At 45.4% G+C, this 19,764-nt stretch overlaps 1 long non-coding RNA gene and 1 pseudogene across 3 annotated transcripts in view; one reads left to right on the top strand and one right to left on the bottom strand.

The window, feature by feature from the left end:
* Window positions 7,757–17,289, bottom strand: LINC00933 (long intergenic non-protein coding RNA 933). Of its 2 annotated transcripts, none has more exons than NR_038274.1 (4): window positions 17,204–17,289; window positions 15,594–15,723; window positions 14,687–14,916; window positions 7,757–9,990 (listed from the first exon to the last, which is right to left on the bottom strand). It is a non-coding gene; the product is annotated as a long intergenic non-protein coding RNA 933 (long non-coding RNA). The 2 variants fall into 2 exon arrangements; NR_038273.1 differs by lacking the exon at window positions 17,204–17,289 and adding an exon at window positions 16,710–16,804.
* UBE2Q2P1 (UBE2Q2 pseudogene 1) overlaps window positions 17,143–19,764 on the top strand; it is a 43,600-nt pseudogene continuing 40,978 nt past the window's right edge. Inside the window, exon 1 of the transcript NR_003661.2 lies at window positions 17,143–18,433. The product of NR_003661.2 is annotated as a UBE2Q2 pseudogene 1 (transcript). The remainder of the gene's footprint in view (window positions 18,434–19,764) is intronic.

Raw genomic sequence — 19,764 nt, 5'->3', positions numbered from 1 at the left:
CTCTTCCTACCCACTCCTGTCCTGTCTCATTTTTTAGATGGGAAACTGAAGCCTAATTCAGATTTTTCTTCGGTAGTATTATGAAGCATACAGCTGGAGCCTCCCAGGTGCCATTCCCCACATCTCTGTCTTTCCCCTAACACACTAGGATAGTGGGGAAGCAAGATAAGCGTACTAAGCTCCTACTGTGTACTGGTCACAGAGTGGGCACTTTTCTCTCCAGCCTTGCAATTGATGGGAAATAGGTGATTATACAACTGGGATACAGGATTAGAGTGGGCTAGTGATGTGCTCACAGTCTCTCAGCTGAAACTGGAACCCAGGGGTCTTTGACTCTAAAGCTAGTGCTCTTTTTGGGTCTCCAGCTTGAGCAATAGTTGCAAAATGCAAAGAGCGCCATGAAAATCTAATATTGATCCGTATAAGATTGTATTGCAAACAGAAAGATGGAGTGTCTTCGTGGGGGTGACGGGGAGGGGGGAGATTATCTCAATTCTATGTAACCTGGGAACTCTCCAGGGAACATGAATGAAGCATGACTGAGTGCAATTTGTCTGATAAACAAAATCTGTCAGAACGTGGGGCCTTGTGGGTCCTGAGTGAAGGTAAAAAACCATGGTGCTGGACATTTCCTAAGGTGTTGTTTATGAAATTACTCAGGACCTCAGTGCCTCCACATTCTTCATGACCCTAGGCAGTTTCCCCATCTGTCTTCATTCTACTGCCTGGCATCCTATCCGTCAAACTGTTTTTAGATTTATGTCTCAATAAAATAAAAATCATGGTGGGAGCCATTTATACCCTAGTGAGAGTCATCTAAGATTCCCTTTTCTTCTCAGTCCTTTTTGCTGAAGTTGATTATGAGAGAGGATGGGGAGGGGAAAAGGGTCGGGGGAGCACTCTTGGAGTTTGCACTGTTTCCGGCTGACGCCCTGGCACAGTGTGATTATGTTAATCTAAATGGAGAACGCCATGCATGTTTCTCTCTATTCCCTTTGTCACCAATACCAATTCCCCAAGCAGAGCCCCGGGAGGGCTGGACTGAAGGAGCTGGAGGTATTAGAAAATGCTTGGCTTTGGATTTCAGGCCAAGTTCTGCCGGTGACTTGCTGTGTAAGATCAGACAAGTCAGTTCAGCTCTCTGCACTTCAGTGACCTCATCTGTAAAAGGCTGGTCTGAACTAGCTTATTAATTTTCTTTAGGTTTTGCTATTGTTTTTGTTTTAACATCATATTCAATTCTTCCCCCATCTTTATTAAAGTATATTTGGCAAATAAAAATTGTGTACATTTACAGCGTTCAGTGTGATGTTTTGATATATGCATACATTGTGAAATGATTAAATCAAGTTAATTAACATTTTAATCACCTCACATACTTTTATTATTATTTTTGTGGTAAGAACATTTAAGATCTCTTTGCTTAGAATAGTGTTTACTAGAGGTGAGGAAGAGTAAGGGGGAGGGGGTAACCAAGGGTTGGCTAACAGGTTAACAGATACATGAGTACATGGCTGAGTGCAGTGGCTCACGCCTGTAATCCTAGCACTTTGGGAGGCTCACTTGAGCCAGGAGTTTGAGACCAGGCTGGGCAACATAGGGAGATCCACTCTCTACAAAAAATTTAAAAATTAGCCAGGCATGGTGGTGCACGCCTGTGGTCCCAGCTACTTGGGCAGCTGCGGTGGAAGGATCACTTGGGTCCAAGAGGTTAAGGCTACAGTGAGTTGTGACTGCATCACTGCATTCCAGCCTTAGGGACAGAATGAGACCCTGTCTGGGGGACAAACAAAAACAAAAACAAAAACAAAGAGTACAGCTAGATAGGAAGAATAGTTCTAGTGTCTTTAGCACTATAGGGTGACTGTAATTAATGACAATTTATTATATAGTTTTGAATAGCTAGAAGAGTGGATTTTGAATGCTACCAGAACAAAGAAATGATAAATGTTTGAGGTGGTGGAGATGCTAATTACGATTTGATCATTACACATTGTATACATGTATAAAATATTATACCCCATAAATATATACAACTATGTGTTGATTAAAAATAATAAAAGCAGGCTGGGCACAGCGGCTCATTCCTGTAATCTCAGCACTTTGGGAGGCTGAGGCGGGTGGATCACAAGGTCAGGAGATGGAGACCATCCCAGCTAACATGGTGAAACCCCGTCTCTACTAAAAATACCAAAAATTAGCCAGGTGTGGTGGCATGGGCCTGTAGTCCCAGCTACTCAGGAGGCTGAGGCAGGAGAATCACTTGAACCCAGGAGGCAGAGGTTGCAGTGAGCTGAGATCGTGCCACTGCACTCTAGCCTGTGTGAAAAAGTGAGACTCCGTGTCAAAAAAAATAGTAAATAAAATAAAAATAGCCGGGCGTGGTGGCTCACACCTATAATGCCAGCACTTTGGGAGGCTGAGGCAGGTGGATCATGAGGTCAGGAATTCAGGACCAGCCTGGCCAAAATGGTGAAAACCCGTCTCTACTAAAAATACAAAAATTGGCCAGGCCTGCTGGCAGATGCCTGTAATCCCAGCTACTTGGGAGGCTGAGGCAGAGACTTGCTTGAACCCGGGAGGCGGAGGTTGCAGTGAGCCGAAATTGTACCACTGCACGCCAGCCTGGGTGACAGAGCGAGACTCCGTCTCAAAAAAAAAAAGAAAAAAATAATAATAAAAGCGAAAAATCTACTTTCTTAGCAATTTTCAAGCATACGTTATTATTAACTATAGTCATCATGCTGTACAACAGGTCTCCAGAACTAATAACATTATATTTAATTCTGATCAAAGTACTAGATACACAGAGTTAAGAACAAAATGGTATCTGGATCAAGAAATCCTCAGTAAAACAAGAAAAGAAGAAAAAAGAACAAAATGATAATAAAAGGCTTATATCAAAAACCATTTACTCTTCCCTTTCCTTTCTTGCCTTTGAGTTCTAATTCCCAGAGGCCATCTCTTTAAGCTGATTTTGCTACTTCCTCTGGTATTTATCTTTTTTTTTTTTTTTTTTTTTTTTTTTGAGATGGAGATTTGCTCTTGTTGCCCAGGCTGGAGTGCAATGGTGTGATTTCCACTCACCACAACCTCCACCTCCCAGGTTCAAGCGATTCTCCTGCCTCAGTCTCCTGAGTAGCTGGGATTACAGGCATGCACCACTACACCTGGCTAATTTTGTATTTTTAGTAGAGATGGGTTTTTTCCATGGTCAGGCTGGCCTTGAACTCCCGACCTCAGGTGATCCGCCCACCTTGGCCTCCCAAAATGCTGGGATTACAGGTGTGAGCCAAAATGCCCGGACTATCATTGTATTTCTAAAGAATGTTTATGTTGCTATTTCTTGATTTGTTTTCTTCAGTATCTGTCAATTCCTGGCATAGCACAGTATAGGGCTTACCTTCCTTATGAGGTCTTACTTTCCTTGCCTCCATTACACCAATTTGACTGGATCACAATTTTATGAAATCAAAAGCATTTACATTCTTATAGCTATGTAAATATTGTTCCCTAACCCAAGTTCCACACTGAAATTGTTTCATTTCTTTCCTTTATTCCCCCAGAGTTAATAATTGCTGTAGACTTTTTCCCTTCATTTGTTTATGTTTTTCTTTATTTTTATTTTTATTTTTTACCAATTACCTACCAATTTTTTCAGATGCTTCAACCAATCTATCAAATGCCTAGTGATAATTATCCAAAAACTAAGATACACTGGATACTCTATCAGCCCCATTATTTTCCTGGAGGCTTCTCTCTCTCCCTTGAACTCCATCCTTCTGCTCCAAACTGGACTCGGCTCTCAGCCCATGGCACAGCTGGCATCCTGGCATGTCTCTGCACCATCGTGTGAATTTCCTGCTGCCTCTTCTGTGTGCATCTCCTGTTCCCTGGCCCCAGATCTTCTTTTTCCTTGGTTTATCCTCTCACCGTGTTGCAGCACATCTTCCAGTGGCTTCCTGAGACAGAGTGAATGGAAGCCAAGTTTCCGACCCCACATATTTTAAAATGTCATTGTTCTACTCCAACTCCTGATTAATAGTTTGGCTGGAAATAATGCTCTAATTTAAACATAACTTCTCCTCACATTGGGAAATATTGCTCTATTATTTTCTAGTTCCCAGTGTTGTTGGGAAGAAGTCAGTGTCATGCTGAGTCTTGGCTCTTTATATATGACCTCTTTTCTCTCTATAAGATTTTAGGATTTTCTCTCTATCCTTGCTTTTCTGGAATTTCCCAATGATGTGCCTTGTTGTAGGTCTTTCTTCATTCACTATGCTAGTCACTCGGTAGACTCTTTGAACTGGAAAATTATATCCTTCTATTGTGGAAAGCCACCAGCAGGTTCATGTGAGCTGGGTAATCTCATTCTTTTCTTCCAAGGACAGAGGTATCAAGGCCCTGGGTACCTTATAAGTGGATGGGGAAAGGGCGCCTGAGGTGAATCCAACAAAGCTGCAGCACCCACTGAGCTCATGTCCCAGGGCTAGGCTCTGCCTGAGGACAGGAGACATGGGTAAGACCCACTTCCTGCCCAGTCCCATGGTGGGGCTCAGGACACACATGGTCCAGGAGGCCCCCAGTTCCGGGCTGCATTTACATGCACCTACCTGCATGCAGCATTCAGTGAGCCACAGGACAACTTAGGGGAAGGGGCAGCTCCAGAGAGCAGGACAGGAGGGAGGTAAATAATCACGGGGTGGGGAGTGGCCTTGTGGGGAAGGGGCAAAGGCAGGGGTGTGTGTGTGTGTGTATTGTGTATTGGGGGAAATGGGGAGACCATCTGTAGTTTTGTCTCCCCTTTTCTGGCTACTGCACCCGTTTTTTCATGAATAGTTTTTCTTTCCATCATGGACTGAATGTCTCTGTCTCTTCCAAATCCAGCCCTAACCCTCTCTGTGGCTGCATTTGGAGATGAGGCATCTCAGGAAGTCATTAAGGTTAAATGAGGTCCTAAGGGTGGGGCCCTGATTCAGTAGGATTAGTGTCCTTATAAGATGAGACACCAGAGAGTTCACTCACTCTCTCTCTCCTCACAAATACAAAGAAGAGGTCATGTAAGCATACAATATGGCAGCCACCTACAGGTCAAGAGGAGAGGCCACAGAATGAAACCTACCTTGCTGGCACTTTGGTCTTGGATTTCCCAGCCTCTAGAACTGTGAGAAATAAATGTTTGTGGCTTAAGCCACCCAGTCTGTGGTATTGTGGCATGGCACCCTGAACTGACTAATACATCTCCCCGCCCTACTTCAACCACATGACACTAGAGGGCTTGGCAGTTCTAGTGTCCCAGCTACCCAGCCAATCCAGACCAGACCAAGCAGTAACTTTCTTCTGGAATTTTCTGAATAGGAACTAATGGAGAGGAGCCCCATCCTTTCTTAGGGGCAAAGCCAGGAAGATGGAAGCCTCATGCTGCCAACAGCCTGATTCCAACCTTGTGAAGAAAGTTGCTCTGAGAGCACAAAACTGATCTGCGGACTGAGGTGGAGACAGAGACAAGGGAAGGAGCCTGCAAATCTTGACAGTGCTGGTGACTCTGAGTCCAGGTATTCCTGAGGCCCAGCTGTTCCCTGCCCTGCCCGTGGCTAACTTACTGAGCAATGAACTTCCCTTCTTGCCTAAGCCAACTCGAGTGAATTTTCTGTCACTCACACCCAAAGAGCCCTGACTGCAATGGCAGGGCATGGCAGGGCTGGGCTGGCCAGGGCAGAGGACAGTGTGGGTGGAATCAGCTGTAACAGGCACACGGGAAGTGCAGTTATCACATAAACTCCATGAGGTCTTCCTTCAGCCCTGACTGTGAGCAGGGCTGGGTCCATATGCTCAGTAGGTCAGAGTAAGGGATTTGGTCAGAGGTGCCATGCTCAAGGCCATCTTTCTATGGGCCAGACTCTTCAGCATCAAAGGCTTTGCCATCAGAGAGTTTTAGTCATATCTTGGGTTCACTTGATCAATTGCTGTTCTCCTACTTTCAGGATCTTTACACTAGGCTGCCCCACATGGGTGTTAGGAAGCCATAGACATCCTGGCCAGAAGCCCAGACCACAAAAAGCGTTCCTGCCCGCCTGCCCGGGGTTCCAGAGGGCAGGACCGATGGGTGGTGGGAGGAGCCCAGCCTGGGCAGTTGTGACATGTACACCACTCTTGATCTGTCTCCTGGAACTTTTCACCCCTCAAGTTTGGGCCCCAGTGGGGCACACATGGGAAAGACAATGAATGCCCATGTCTCCAACTAGTTTCCCCATCAGAAGTGGTTATTGCACCAAGCTCCCCACTCTATTAAAATTGCACAGACCAAGGGCCACTTTCCTAATGGATGGGTCTTCTTGGTCCATCTCTTGCTCCCAACAGAGCTCCCTCCCTGGGATGGGAATGTGCCATTCCAGGAGAGGCCTTTTGACCCAGCCTCCAGCCAAAGCCAGTCTCCCTGCCATGCAGGCCCTAGAGTTACACTGGAGGGTGACAGGCCTCACCTGGAAATTTCTTGCTGAAAATTGTCAGTTTCCCACACAAGTACGGCCTGGCAGTTTAATTCAAATTAAATTCAGAAGGAGACTGCTGCTTCAATCTCAACTGCTTGAAAATTAGGCCATATAGAGTTTTTGTTTGCTGGAAACTGTGGAGTCAGACATTGTGCAGATTGACCCAGTAGCTATAGCAAGTACACACATAGGGCGTCAACCAATGACAAGGGTGCACACACACACATGCACACAGCAGGAAATCGAGAAATAAACTATTTTAATGTCAGGTGTCATGGAAGTTTTGTGTCATTTCCCCAAAAACACACATTTTATTTTATGATTTAGTCTTGTTTTTATTTAGAATTACTTAAGGAAAAGGAGAGCTAAGTGCAGTGGCTCATACCTGTAATCCCAGCACTTTGGGAGGCTGAGGCAGGAGGATCACTTGAGCCCGGGAGTTTGAGACCAGCCTGGGCAACATGGTGAAACCCCATCTCTATAAAAAATACAAAAATTAGCCAGATGTTGTAGCGTCTGCCTGTGTCCCAGCTACCCAGGAGACTGAGGTGGGAGGATCGCCTGAGCCCAGGAGGCACAGATTGCAGTGAACTGAGATCACGTCACTGCACTGCAGCCTGGGCGACAGAATGAGATCCCATCACAAAAAGAAAGAAAGAGAGAAAGGAAGAGAGAAAAAGAAAAAGAGAAAAGAAAATAAAGGGGAGGGGAGGGGAAGGGAGGGGAAGTGAGGGGAGGGGAGGAGACAAGACGAGAGGAATAGGATCCTGATAGCTGGTATGGGGAAACTTAAGTGGATACATCTGAGAACTTTGAGCCTCCAGTTTCCACGGAATGCTCTGGGCTAAAAGAAGTAGCCCTCTTTCCTTGCTAAGAGAAGGGCAGCTGCCCCTTGCCTGGAGACTAGGCAAAGAGCCTCCAACAAGGCCTTACAGCAGGATGAGGTGTGTCATTATTGCTGCCCCACATTGACACCAGACTATGGCCTCATCATGGCCCAAAGTCACAAGCACAATCTGCTATGGGAGAATGATTTTTTTGCCAAAAATGTTGCAGGGGCTGCCTGGTGATAAAAATAAAAAATCCGTACTTAAAAGCAACACACCAATAGAGGCAAGCAAAACATGTTTTGCAAAAAACAACTATCAATGGTGATGGCACATGGATCTCCCCTTTCAGAACCCTGAGATTCTCAGTGCCGTTACCCTAATGGCTTTCTGCAGAGGAGGTAACTATCAGAATCACATGGAGAAGATCAGAGCCTGGAAGGAAACTTGAGATTTTTTTTATTACAACCTTCTTCATTTACACAGAGACAAAACTGAAATTCAGAGAGTTCTGGTTTCTCAAGGCACACCACTGGTCAATAAACACACAGAGCCAGAAGCTAGATCTAGCTCAGCGTTCTTTTAAAGCTTTAAAATTTCCTCTCTGCTAGTAAAGCTTACAGCCTGGCAAGAATATAATATATACACACAAATACAGTTATAATGGTGAAAACTTGGAAACAACTTAAATGTCCAACAATACAGGCATTAATTCTCTATAAAGTGAATATCAAATAGCCATAGAAAAGACATTAAAGACCCAGAAGTGTTGCTAATTGAGCAAAAATACATCCTTTCCGGTCAGATGCAGTGGCTCACACCTGTAATCCCAGCACTTGGGGGCTGAAGCGGGCAGATCACTTGAGTTCAGGAGTTTGAGACCAGCCTGGCCAACATACAAAACCACATAGTAAGGTACATAGATGTGCTTTGGTCAAGGAATAGGCCGAGGTGGATATCTAGGCCTGTGTGACTCACGAGTTTGGCGTGCAAGCACACAGCTCCACTTGTAATATAACCTGTTTGTGTAAGTTCATTCCTGGCTTTATGCCACTATTGTCTGTAAAAGGTATAACTGCCCTGTTGATGCCGTGCATAAGAGACATGGCTCTTCGGGGCTTGGCTCAGTTTGGCTTAACATGGCTTGACATGATGAGCACACTGGCACCCAGAGAAAGAGAGAGCCAAAGCTGTCCATCTTGCAGGCAGATGGGAGGGAGCCAGGACACAGCTGGGCTTGCTCATGCCCAGAGAGAGAAGGAGTTAAGCTGCTGACCCTGAAGGCAAGAGAGAGCTGGCTGCGCAGCTATGTGTAGGGGCAGCTGGCTCAAGCTGCTGAGACAGGCGAACAGTGGAAGAGTAAGCTGCTAATAAGAGAGCTAGTGTAAGAAAGCTGTTAATGAGAGCTGCCGCTGAATAAAACTATCTTTCACCTGCCTATGGCCCCCCGATTGTTCTTTCTGCTCACCCACCCACTCCCCTCAGACTTCACCATGGGCTGGACCTGGACCCTGGGATCTGACACACATCTCTGCTAAAAATACAAAAATTAGCCAGTGTGGTGGCCCATGTAATTCCAACTACTAGGGTGGCTGAGGCACGATGATCACTTGAACCCAGGAGGCACGGTTGCAGTGAGCCAGGATCATACCACTGCACTCCAGCCTGTGCAACAGAGCCTGACCCTGTCTCTAAATAAATAAATAAATAAATAAAGTGAAAGACCATTTGTCCAGTATAAACTCTTTCAAAATATATACTCAAGCACAGGAAAGTCTAGAAATGTCATCAATGGTAATTTCAGGAAAGAATTCTAAGGTGACTTTTTTTGGTTATCTGCATTTTTTGTTTTGTTTTGTTTTTTTGAGATAGGGTCTTACTCTGTCACCCAGGCTGGAACATAGTGATATGATCAGGGCTCACTGCAACCTTGACCTCCCAGGCTTAAGCAATTCTCCCACCTCTGTCTCCTGAGTAGCTGGGACTAGAGGCGCATGCCACCACACCTGGCTAATTTTTGTATTCTTGTATTTTTTGCAAAGATGGGGTTTTGCTGCATTGCCCAAGCTGGTCTCAAGCGATCTACCCATCTCGGCCTGCCAGAGTGCTGGGATTACAAGTGTGAGCCAAGTGTGCCAGGCCTACTTTTTTTTCTATAATGACCACGACCATGGGTTTCATGTACCAACTTTTTTTTTTAACAATAAGAGATACAAAGCATATTATGAAAAATGTTCAGGGAAAAAGAAGAATACAAAATTGTAAAAATCATATATAACTAGTTTTTTTTTTTTAAGGCAAGAAAGAAACAAAATAGATTGTCCAGGAAGATGGTTACTTCCACTTTGTATTTCTCTGGTGAACTCATTAGGAACTCTAAAAAGTTCCAGGAGTAGAATCACGGGGTCAAAGTACCCTGGCTATAACTTCCGATTCAGAGAATCCTAACAACTTACATTGTCACCAGCAAGGTCTTTGACTACATGAGCAACTCTCACCTTAAAGCATTTCTCATCTGACATTAGCTGCTTGGCTTTCTGTGGATACGTTGACTCCAGGAGGCTTCTTGAGTTCTGTGTGTTCGGCTGGCCTCCGGTGGCCCCATTATTATTTTCTGCCAGGTAAAGGTCAGTCACCTGTACACAGATCTCATCACTCATGATATGCTGCAGCTGGAATCAAACAACGGCAAGCTGTCAGTGAACACAGAAAACATTTCTCCATTACACAGTCAATGTTCCTTTGACTGATCCAGTCACTCAACTCAAAAGAGGTTTTGGTTTTATTTGGCTGGCAATTTTAGAAAATTCACCAGACAAACCACTGTATCATTTTCTTGGAGAATAATCAAGCTAAGTTTTTCAACCATATCAGTGGTTCATTGTAAAACTTTCATATCTATTTAAAATAAAAACCATAGAGAACTCAGGTTAATGTACTGTTTATTTAAAATTCTAAGGATCTTTAAATAATTTTCCATAGGTCATATTTTATTGCATTTTAAAATCATTTAGAATTTGCTTTCATACATATTCTCTCTCATTTGATCCTCACAACTTCCCTGGGAAGCAGGTTGGAGAGAGAGTTGGGACCTGTTAGGAGACAAATTTACACAATGCATAAGAAAGCTCACTGTGAGTTGGGGTGAGGAGGGGAGCCTTGGAGAATCATGAAAGCAATATCTATATCTTTATTCCCAGCCCAACTACAAAGCCTGAAACTCATTAGGTATTTAAGAAATAGCTGCTGAATTATTGCCTAGGGGTGCTCAGCTGAAGAAGGAGGGTTGGGACTAACAGTCAAGCTTCCTGACTCCTAGCCCAATACTTTTCCAAACACACCACCTATTTTTCTATATCTGATAGAAAGTACAGTGCTTAAGTTGTACATGATGTTATCTCACTTTTAATACAGGCCAATCATGATTGACTATATGTGGCTTTCATGACAATCTTAGGAAACTAATGACTAGAAAGTTGAACCTTTCAGAGTTCCCATTCTCATGTTATATGCTATTTCTATTTTGAAATAAAAATCCTTCCAAATGAAACTTTATCCATCAAAATGTCAGAGAAGTGAAAAATAGATGCAAGAAGAAAGCAAAACGTTAATTTCAATATCAGCCGGGTGTGGTAGCTCATGCCTGTAATCCCAGCACTTCGGGAGGCTGAGGTGGGCAGATCACAAGGTCAGGAGATCAAGACTACCTTGGCTAACACGGTGAAACCCCGACTCTACTAAAAATACAAAAAATTAGCTGGGCGTGGTGGCAGGCACCTGTAGTCCCAGCTACTCAGAAGGCTGAGGCAAAAGAATGGCATGAACCTGGAAGGCGGAGCTTGCAGTGAGCTGAGATCCCACCACTGCATTCCAGCCTGGGCAACAGAGTGAGACTCCATCTCAAAAAAAAAAATTGGGGGCCTGGTAGTTAAAAATCAACCCCTGACCTAACTGCTTGTGTTATCTATAGATTCCAGACATTGTATGGAAAAGCATTGTGAAAATCCCTGTCCTGTTCTGTTCCATTCCAATTACTGGTGCATGCAGCCCCCAGTCACATACCCCCTGCTTCCTCAATTGATCACGACCCTCTCACACAGACCCCCTTAGAGTTGTAAGCCCTTAAAAGGGACAGTCATTGCTTACTTGGGGAGCTTGGCTTTTGAGATGCAAGTCTGCAGAAGCTCCCAGCTGAATAAAGCTCCTTCCTTTTTTAACCTGGTGTCTGAGGAGTTTTGTCTGCAGCTCATCCTGCTACAATATGTCATGGACCAACCTCAAAAACATTAGCTAAGTAAAAAAGCCAGACACGAGACCACATATTGTATAATTCCATTGATTTGAAATGTCCAAAAAAGGCAAATTTATAGAGAAAGAAATGGGCTGATTTATCTCAAGAGGCAGGGATTCAAGCTTTCTAGACTATATGTGATACATAGATGAGAAAAAATAAGGAAAAGAAAATAAATTTAAATAGAAATAAATGAAAATAATACTTCTCCCTGATTATAAAGAAAATCATATTCTTTTTCTAATAATTTGGAAGACAAAATATGAAGAAAAGTCTTTAATTTTGCCACTCAAAACATTCTGCCTTGTTGCTTTTTATACTTTTTTATGCATATACACATTTTAAAAAGTAGAATCATTATATAGTCTTTTGTCACTATGTTTTAGGCATATTTCTATGGCAGTAAATCTATCCTTAGCATCATCATTTTTAATAGCTCGATGTATATTAACTTAATCATTGCCACCCCAGAAATAAATTTTCTTATATGTATATTTTTAGTGGATTAGAGCAAGCATTTTTGGATTTAATTCATAGAAGTAGAATTTCTGGAGGAAAATAACGTACAACAGTTTTAGGGTTTTTAATATAAATTTTCAAATTATCCTGCAGAAAAATTGGTTCAGTTTATACTCCCACCAACAGGGGCAGAGCTCCAGTTTCCCCCTCCCATTTGTCCTCTTCGCTGGTCTTTAAGCAGAAAATCTGATTGTTTTCATTACATTTATTTGGTTTCTAACGCTTTTGAATCTTTTTTTTTTTTTTTTTTTGAGATGGAGTCTTGCTCTGTCATCCAGGCTGGAGTGCAGTGGTGCAGTCTCAGCTCACTGCAATGTCTGCCTCTTGGGTTCAAGCTATTCTCTTGCCTCAGCCTCCAGAGTAGCTGGGATTACAGGTATCCACCACCACACCTGGCTAATGTTTGTATTTTTAGTAAAGACAGGGTTTCACCATGTTGGCCTGGCTGGTCTCACATTCCTGATCTTAGGTGATCCTCCTGCCTTGGCCTCCCTGAGTTTTGGGATTATAGGCATGAGCCACTGCACCCAGCCACCACAGCTAACTTCTTCTTTTTTTTTTTTGAGATGGAGTCTCACTGTGTTGCCCAGGCTGGAGTGCAGTGGCCCGATCTTGGCTCATTGCAAGCTCTGCCTCCCGGGTTCACGCCATTCTCCTGCCTCAGCCTCCCAAGTAGCTGGGACTACAGGCGCCTGCCACCATGCCCGGCTAATTTTTTTTTGTATTTTCAGTAGAGATGGGGTTTCACTGTGTTAGCCAGGATGGTCTCGATCTCCTGACCTCATGATCCGCCCGCCTCAGCCTTCCAAAGTGCTGGGATTACAGGTGTGAGCCACTGCGCCTGGCCGCAGCTAACTTCTAATGAGGCCACCTTAGACAAGTTACTTACTGTCTCTGAGTGCAGTGGTGCAGTAATGGCTCACTGTAACCTTGATCACCTAGACTCAAGAGATCCTCCCACCTCAGCCTCATGAGTAGCTGGGACTACAAGCCTGCACCACCACACCCAGTTAATTTTTCTAGTTTTTGTAGAGACAGAGTTTTGCTATGTTGCCTAGGCTGGTCTTGAATTCCTGGCCTAAAGCAATCCTCCTGCCTTGGCCTCCCAAAGTGCTGGGATTACAGGCATGAGCCACCATGCCCACATTTTCTTTTCCAAGCTATATAGAGGATGCTGTATGCATCCTTCTGGAACTTGTTTTTTTTCACTTAATATTATATTGCTAAGATTCATCCTTATTGTTGTTTATAGCTGGCATTCATTCTTTTTGTATGTTGTGACATCACCAGAAGATAGAGATCCTGAGATCTCTTAAGAACTGCTGCTGGGAGTATACACTGGTATAACCACTTTGGAAAACAATTTGGCTCCATCTCATAAGGCTGAATATTCATACTCCTCCCAGCTCAGCAATTCTACTCTACATCCAAAAGAAATTCTTGCCTATATAAAACAATATAAAACAGGGGATGTGGACAAGGAATGTTCCTAACAGCTCTGTTCAAAATAGCAAAAACCTATTTCCCATCAGCTGGAGAGTGAGCGACTAAATTGTGCTTTTTATTCCCTTTAATTTCCAGTAGTCTTAGGATGCAAGTGGCTTTCCCATGGCTAGCTTGGGGAGGGGGATACTCTTGGCAATGGAGTCTGGGGTGGCAGTCCTGATTAGCCCTAGGGCAATCAGTGCTGCCCAAAACAAGAGAAAATAGAACAAGGTGCCCCACTGAGCCAATGCCCTGGGTCCCTGGAGGTACAGGTTTGTACCTGGAGGAAATAGCCATCATACAAATCAGTCTTTTCAAATGCTTCTGTCACTGGGCTGAGTCCAAAGGACACCCTTTCCCAAAACATTACAAAGCTTATTGGGGCTACCATTTATTGAGCATTTATCATGTGCCTGATCATGTACTAGTGTAGTAATTGTGTGCATTATTTCATTTATTTATTTATTTACTTACTTATTCATTGATTTGAGATAGGGTCTCTCTCTGTTGCCTGAGCTGGAGTGCAGTGGCGTGATCATGGCTCACTGCAGCCTCAAACTCCTGGGCTCAAATGATCTCACCTCAGCCTCCCGAGTAGCTGGGAATACAGGCATAAACCATCAAGTCCAGCTAATTTTTTAAAAAACATTTTCGGGCCGGGCAGGTGGCTCATGCCTGTAATCCCAGCACTTTGGGAGGCCGAGGCAGGTGGATCACAAGGTGAGGATATCGAGACCATCCTGGCTAACATGGTGAAACCCCGTTTCTACTAAAAATGCAAAAAATTAGCTGGGTGTGGTGGCGGGCGCCTGTAGTCCCAGCTACTCCAGAGGCTGACGCAGGAGAATGGCATGAACCCAGGAGGCAGAGCTTGCAGTGAGCTGAGATCATGCCACTGCACTCCAGCCTGGGCAACAGAGCGAGACTCCATCTCAAAAAGCAAAACAAAAGAAAACAAAAAACATTTTCATAGAAATGAGGTCTGGCTTTGTTGCCCAGGCTAGTCTCAAACTCCTGGCTTCAAGTGATCCTCCCCCTTGAGCCGTATTATTTCATTTAATCTTCACCATCACCTTATAAGAGTGCTTGGGGGTAGGTGCTCCACACAGTAGCAACGTAGCAACCTCCACTCATAGTGACAACGAGACTCAGTGTAGTCAAGCAACTTCTCAAAGTTCACACAGCTGGAGGGTGGCTGAGCCAGGATGAAGACCTAGGACTCTAAAGCTGGTGTGCCAGTAAATGAGAAAAGTCTCTAAGCGTTCAGGATAGCTTCCTCCCAAGAAATCTTTCTCCAAAAGTTCTAAAAACAATGACAGATCCATCTTTTATAAAGCAGACAAAACTAGCAGTCCGTTCCTTTTAGAGTGGGGTGTAAAGGTTAGCTAAGCTCCAGGGCATCCCATTTTAATCCTATATATTTATAAGGCAACTGCCAGCAGAGCACCCCAAACCTAAAGAACCCTGCACAGCTGTCTCTGTGGGGCATGGCGTGTCCATGGATGTAAAGATTTTCCAATGTGTGCTTACGGGCCTGTGGCATCACCCTCAGTCACTGTCAAAGGGTAGCTAGGCCCTGCCCGCTAGGCACCATCCTGAGAATCTGCTGAGCTTTCTAACTAGTTTATCTGTTGTTTGCAGTGAAAGATGCCCTGAAAAGAAGGGGTGTGGGTGGGAAGAGTTCTGATTTGAGGTCCCCTGATCCAGGCATGCTCTTCTTCCCCAGTTGCAGGAATCAGGGGACTCTATCTGTAAATGCGGGCTCAAGCCATGCCCCCCAGCTCCCTCTTTCAACCAGGTGCCACCCTCTGCTTCTCTTCCATAGACAGCCTAGAGCTGCCAGCAGTCCCTTAGGATCTGTGGCCTCAGGCCTGGCTTAATTTTTTCCTCTCCAAAGAGCCATCTGTAGGGCCAGAGGCCGTCAAAGCCTGACTCATTACTGGATGCCAGTTCCTTTGCCTGACCTTCAGTGATTCCTACCTTACCCTGCGGTTTTATGTTTCTTGTCTCAACACTATTATTTCTTATTTCTCCACAAGTTGAATTGCTCACTCCAGCCCCTCGAAGCATGCTCTTTTTGACACAGTTAGCTTTAGGCACATGGTTGGTGCTAAAAAAAAAAAAAAAAAAAAAGAGCATTATGTCGTTTTCATTGATTAACAAACGTGATGGCTTCACTGCAAAGTAAAGTTGATACTGCCTGGACCCCTGAGTTCAAGAGTCTTTTAGACAAATGGCTCTGAGCTAAAACATGAGCATGCAAACATATGCATCTGTTTCGGTCTGATGAGATAATTTGGATACTTGGTTGTTATCCTTGAGCATTTTCCTGCCTCATTAATGCATGTGTAGCCAGCACAATAATAATCATAGCTAATAATGGCTAAAGCTGAGGGCTTTCCTGAGCCAGGCAGTGGCTTTAAAACTTTAAAGTGGCTTTTAAAACTTTAACAGCTAAAGCTGAGGACTTTCCTGAGCCAGAAAGTGGCTTTAAAACTTTAAAGTTTTCACATGGACTCTCATTGAATAATTTCTGTTTTTCAGATCAAGAAACTGAGACTTACTATCACATTTGGGATTAAGTTAAAAAAAAAAAAAGAAACTGAGGCTTAAAGCTGTCAAGCATTTCACAGCCAGCAAGCAGCTAAATCGGAACTTGAACCCAGGCAGTCTAGCCCTGGGATCCTGTGCCCTTCCTTACCCATTATCCAGTGTTGGCTACACAAAACTAATGAGTACATATTTTCAACTATAGTTTAAGTGGGTGACATATTTTTCACTATATTTTATGTAGGTGACTTTCAGTTTGGGGGTATTCTACTTACACAATCTATTGAGCTGGATATTACTGAGAACAAAAAGAAACTAATGAACTCTGAAAAACATAAAACATGAGCAACATGACATCACTGCAAAAGACAAAACAGCACATAGCCTTCTTGTGACTGTATTTTGCTGACAGTCCATGAGCTGATAGCCTGAACTCAGCAGTGCTGTTCCCTTGGGAGACACACACACACACACACACACACACACACACACACACACACGAGTTGGTGGTTTTGTACCTCCCCCCGCCCCTAAATACACACACACCAGTTGGTGGTTGTGCAGCCTGGAGCTTCCAGTCCGCGAGTGTGAGGAACGGACTAGATGGGTCCAGCAGTGCTGGGTCAAAGCCAGGAGGGGGCAGCCGGAAGCGCGCACATGCTCTGGACTCGTGCACCCGCCGAAACGGGTGCGCACCGGGCGCGCGGGGGTGAGAGGTGAGGGGTGAGGGGTGAGGGACGAGAGGGACGGGAGCGGGGTAGGGGCAGCCCTTTCCCAGGCGGTAGCGGGGGCGGTGGTGCTGTTGTCCTTTTAAGCTGTGGCTTGACAGGAGGAGCGCCTCCTGTCGGTGGAGTCTGTTACAAGGGGAGCAGCCGCCCAGGCCGCCACACAGCTCCCCGCAGAGGCCTCGGTGCCCCTTGCCATTTTCCAGCCCTACTCCGACTAGAGTTGAGGCAGCGGGGAGAGGCGGAGCCGCGAGAGCGCCGCCGAGAGGTCCCGCGGGTGGTCGCGGCCATGACAGCGGCTCCCGACCGGCTCACCTTCCGCGCCCCTCCCGCCAGAGGTGAGAGTAAAATGTCCGTGTCAGGGTTCAAGGCCAAGCTGAAGTTGTTGTCCTCTATTTTCCACAAGAACCAGGAGCCGCCGCGGCAGCTCAGGCTCCACTGCAACATCACGGTGAGGCGCCCAGCGGCGGCTTCACACGGCAGGGCGAGGGCGGAGAGGAAGAGCCCGGAGTCCCGGGACAAAGGGGAACCTGCCCAGGAGAGGCCCCGGTTCCCCGGGCCGGGTGAGCGCGCACCTTTCTCCCGCGACTGGCCTGGCCCCGATCGCCGGGACTGCGGGAGGCTTGGGTGGGAGGAGGGGGAGGGCGCGTCTCTCTGGCTCCTTGCTGCGGGGCTGGCTTGGGGGCTGCCGGCACCTCTCGCCCCAGTCACCGCGCCCCGAGGTGGGAGCCCGCGTCGCCCGCAGCCCTTTCGGGGCCCATGGTCGCCCTCAGTCAGCCAGCCTGCTCCCCGGGACCGCGACGGGGCGTGGCAGGGCGTCTCCGGCTGTTGTTTGAGCCCGGGCGGGGAAGGGGAAAGGCCTTCAAGATTTTCGGGGTTTTGGCCGGGCGCAGTGCTCGTTCCTGTAATCCCAGTACTTTGGGAGGCTGACGCAGCTGGATCGCCTGAGGTCAGGAGTTCTAGACTAGCCCGGCCAACATGGTAAAACCCTGTCTCTACTAAAAATACAAAAATTAGCCGGGCATGGTGGCAGGCACTTGTTGAGATGGAGTCTCACTCTGTCGCCCAGGCTGGAGTGCAGTGGGGTGATCTCGGCTTACTGCAGCCTCCGTCTCTTGACAGTCCATGGGTTCAAGCGATTCTCCTGCCTCAGCCTCCCGAGTAGCTAGGATTACAGGCTCCTGACACCACGCCTGGCTAACTTTTGTGTTGTTTAGTAGAGACAGGGTTTCACCATGTTGGCCAGGCTGGTCTCGAACTCCTGACCTCAAATGACCCATCTCTGCCTCCCAGAGTTCTGGGATTACAGGCCTGAGCCACCGCGCCCAGATCCAAGGCCCTTAAGCTTAAATGCCTCGTTCTTCAGTCAGGTTTTCCTTGTTCCCGCATGTTCAGCCAATCGTGTTTAAGGAGAAACTAACAATGAAAACGGGCTTGTTGATGGAGGAAAAGTTGGAATGCAGCCTCTGGTGCTGTTTGAGCGATCCCTCTATCCCGGGTCGCTGCTGTGTTCTGGAAAGGCACATTGTACCCTGGATGCAGCAGGTAAGAGTCCTGTCCAGGTGCTCTGCCCGCTTTCCTTTCAGGCTTCTGTATCATCTATTTTTCCCCTGTAGAATGTGCCCCTGACAGCCACCCCCTAACCCTACCCAATTTGTCTTTACATGTCTGACCATCAAGGCTCTTCTGGGTCATATTCAGTTCATGCTGATATTTCCCCTTCCTCCCCTCTTTAGTCCTCACTATTTTTGCTTTGGTCATGTTATGCTGTATTCTGTAAGGCTTTTTAATTTTTTTTTTATGATGGCAGGGGAGAATAGTTTATAATTATGCTTTGTGCTTTTTATCTTCTACTCAATAAATGCTTGGTAAATATTTGTTTTATTGAATGTATGACCCTATTCTAGCTATATTGTGCTTGAACAAAAACCTTAACTGCCTTGTAAGTTAACTGCTAAGAATTTGTCAGAAGTGCAGACATAACATCAAGAACTTGTCATGGATAGTACAAAAAGGTCTCTAAGGGCTTGATGGAGGCCTGTAAATTGACTTCCTATGAAAGAGAGTGTAAGAAGTGAAAATGTAAAGCATGACTGGAGAGCCAGAGTGATGAAGCCAGGGTCCCTTTCTCCAGATCCTTTGTAACAGTGTTATGTGATCTCTTCTAGAAGATCGTTCTGAAAGATAATGCCAACTTGGAACCTAGGAAACCATCCAGTGGGTTTCTGCAGCTTAGGTGGTTCAAATCCTCATCAGCACCTTTGTTTTCTCTGCCTCAGTTTGCTAACAATGATGTTCTCAGTAGCTGTAATTGCTGTCTTTGAATACGTAAGCATTTTTTTTTAGATGACAGGGATATATGTGCATTTTTATTTTACCAAGTGTTAGAATTTTTACTCTGCTTTTGTGGGCTCTGGGTTAGCTACTTGGTTGTTTAGATGTAAAATGATTAGCAGGGAAAACTCTGTGTGTGTGTGTGTGTGTGTGTGTGTGTGTGTGTGTGTGTGTGTGTTATAAGTTTCTTTTGTTGTCAGAGGACTTAGAATTTTATTTTATATGGTAATTCTGTCAATTTACTTTATTCTCCACCCCACATTTATTGAACAGCAAAGTATGAAAGTAACGTGTCCCATAACCAGCCTTCAGAAAAATTACAACTGCTGTATATCTGAAATTCTTTTTTTCTTTTTTTAATTTTGAGAAGGAGTCTCACTCTATCACCCAGGCTGGAGTGCAGTGGCACAATCTCGGCTTACTGGAAACTCTGCCGCCCACGTTCAATCGATTCTCCTGCCTCAGCCTCCTTAGTAGCTGGGATTACAGGCATCTGCCACTGCACCTGTCTAATTTTTGTAATTTTAGTAGAGTCGGGTTTC

This window comes from Homo sapiens, chromosome 15, assembly GCF_000001405.40.
Source record: "Homo sapiens chromosome 15, GRCh38.p14 Primary Assembly".
Lineage (NCBI taxonomy): Eukaryota > Metazoa > Chordata > Mammalia > Primates > Hominidae > Homo > Homo sapiens.
This window is presented reverse-complemented; position numbering and strand designations above follow the sequence as displayed.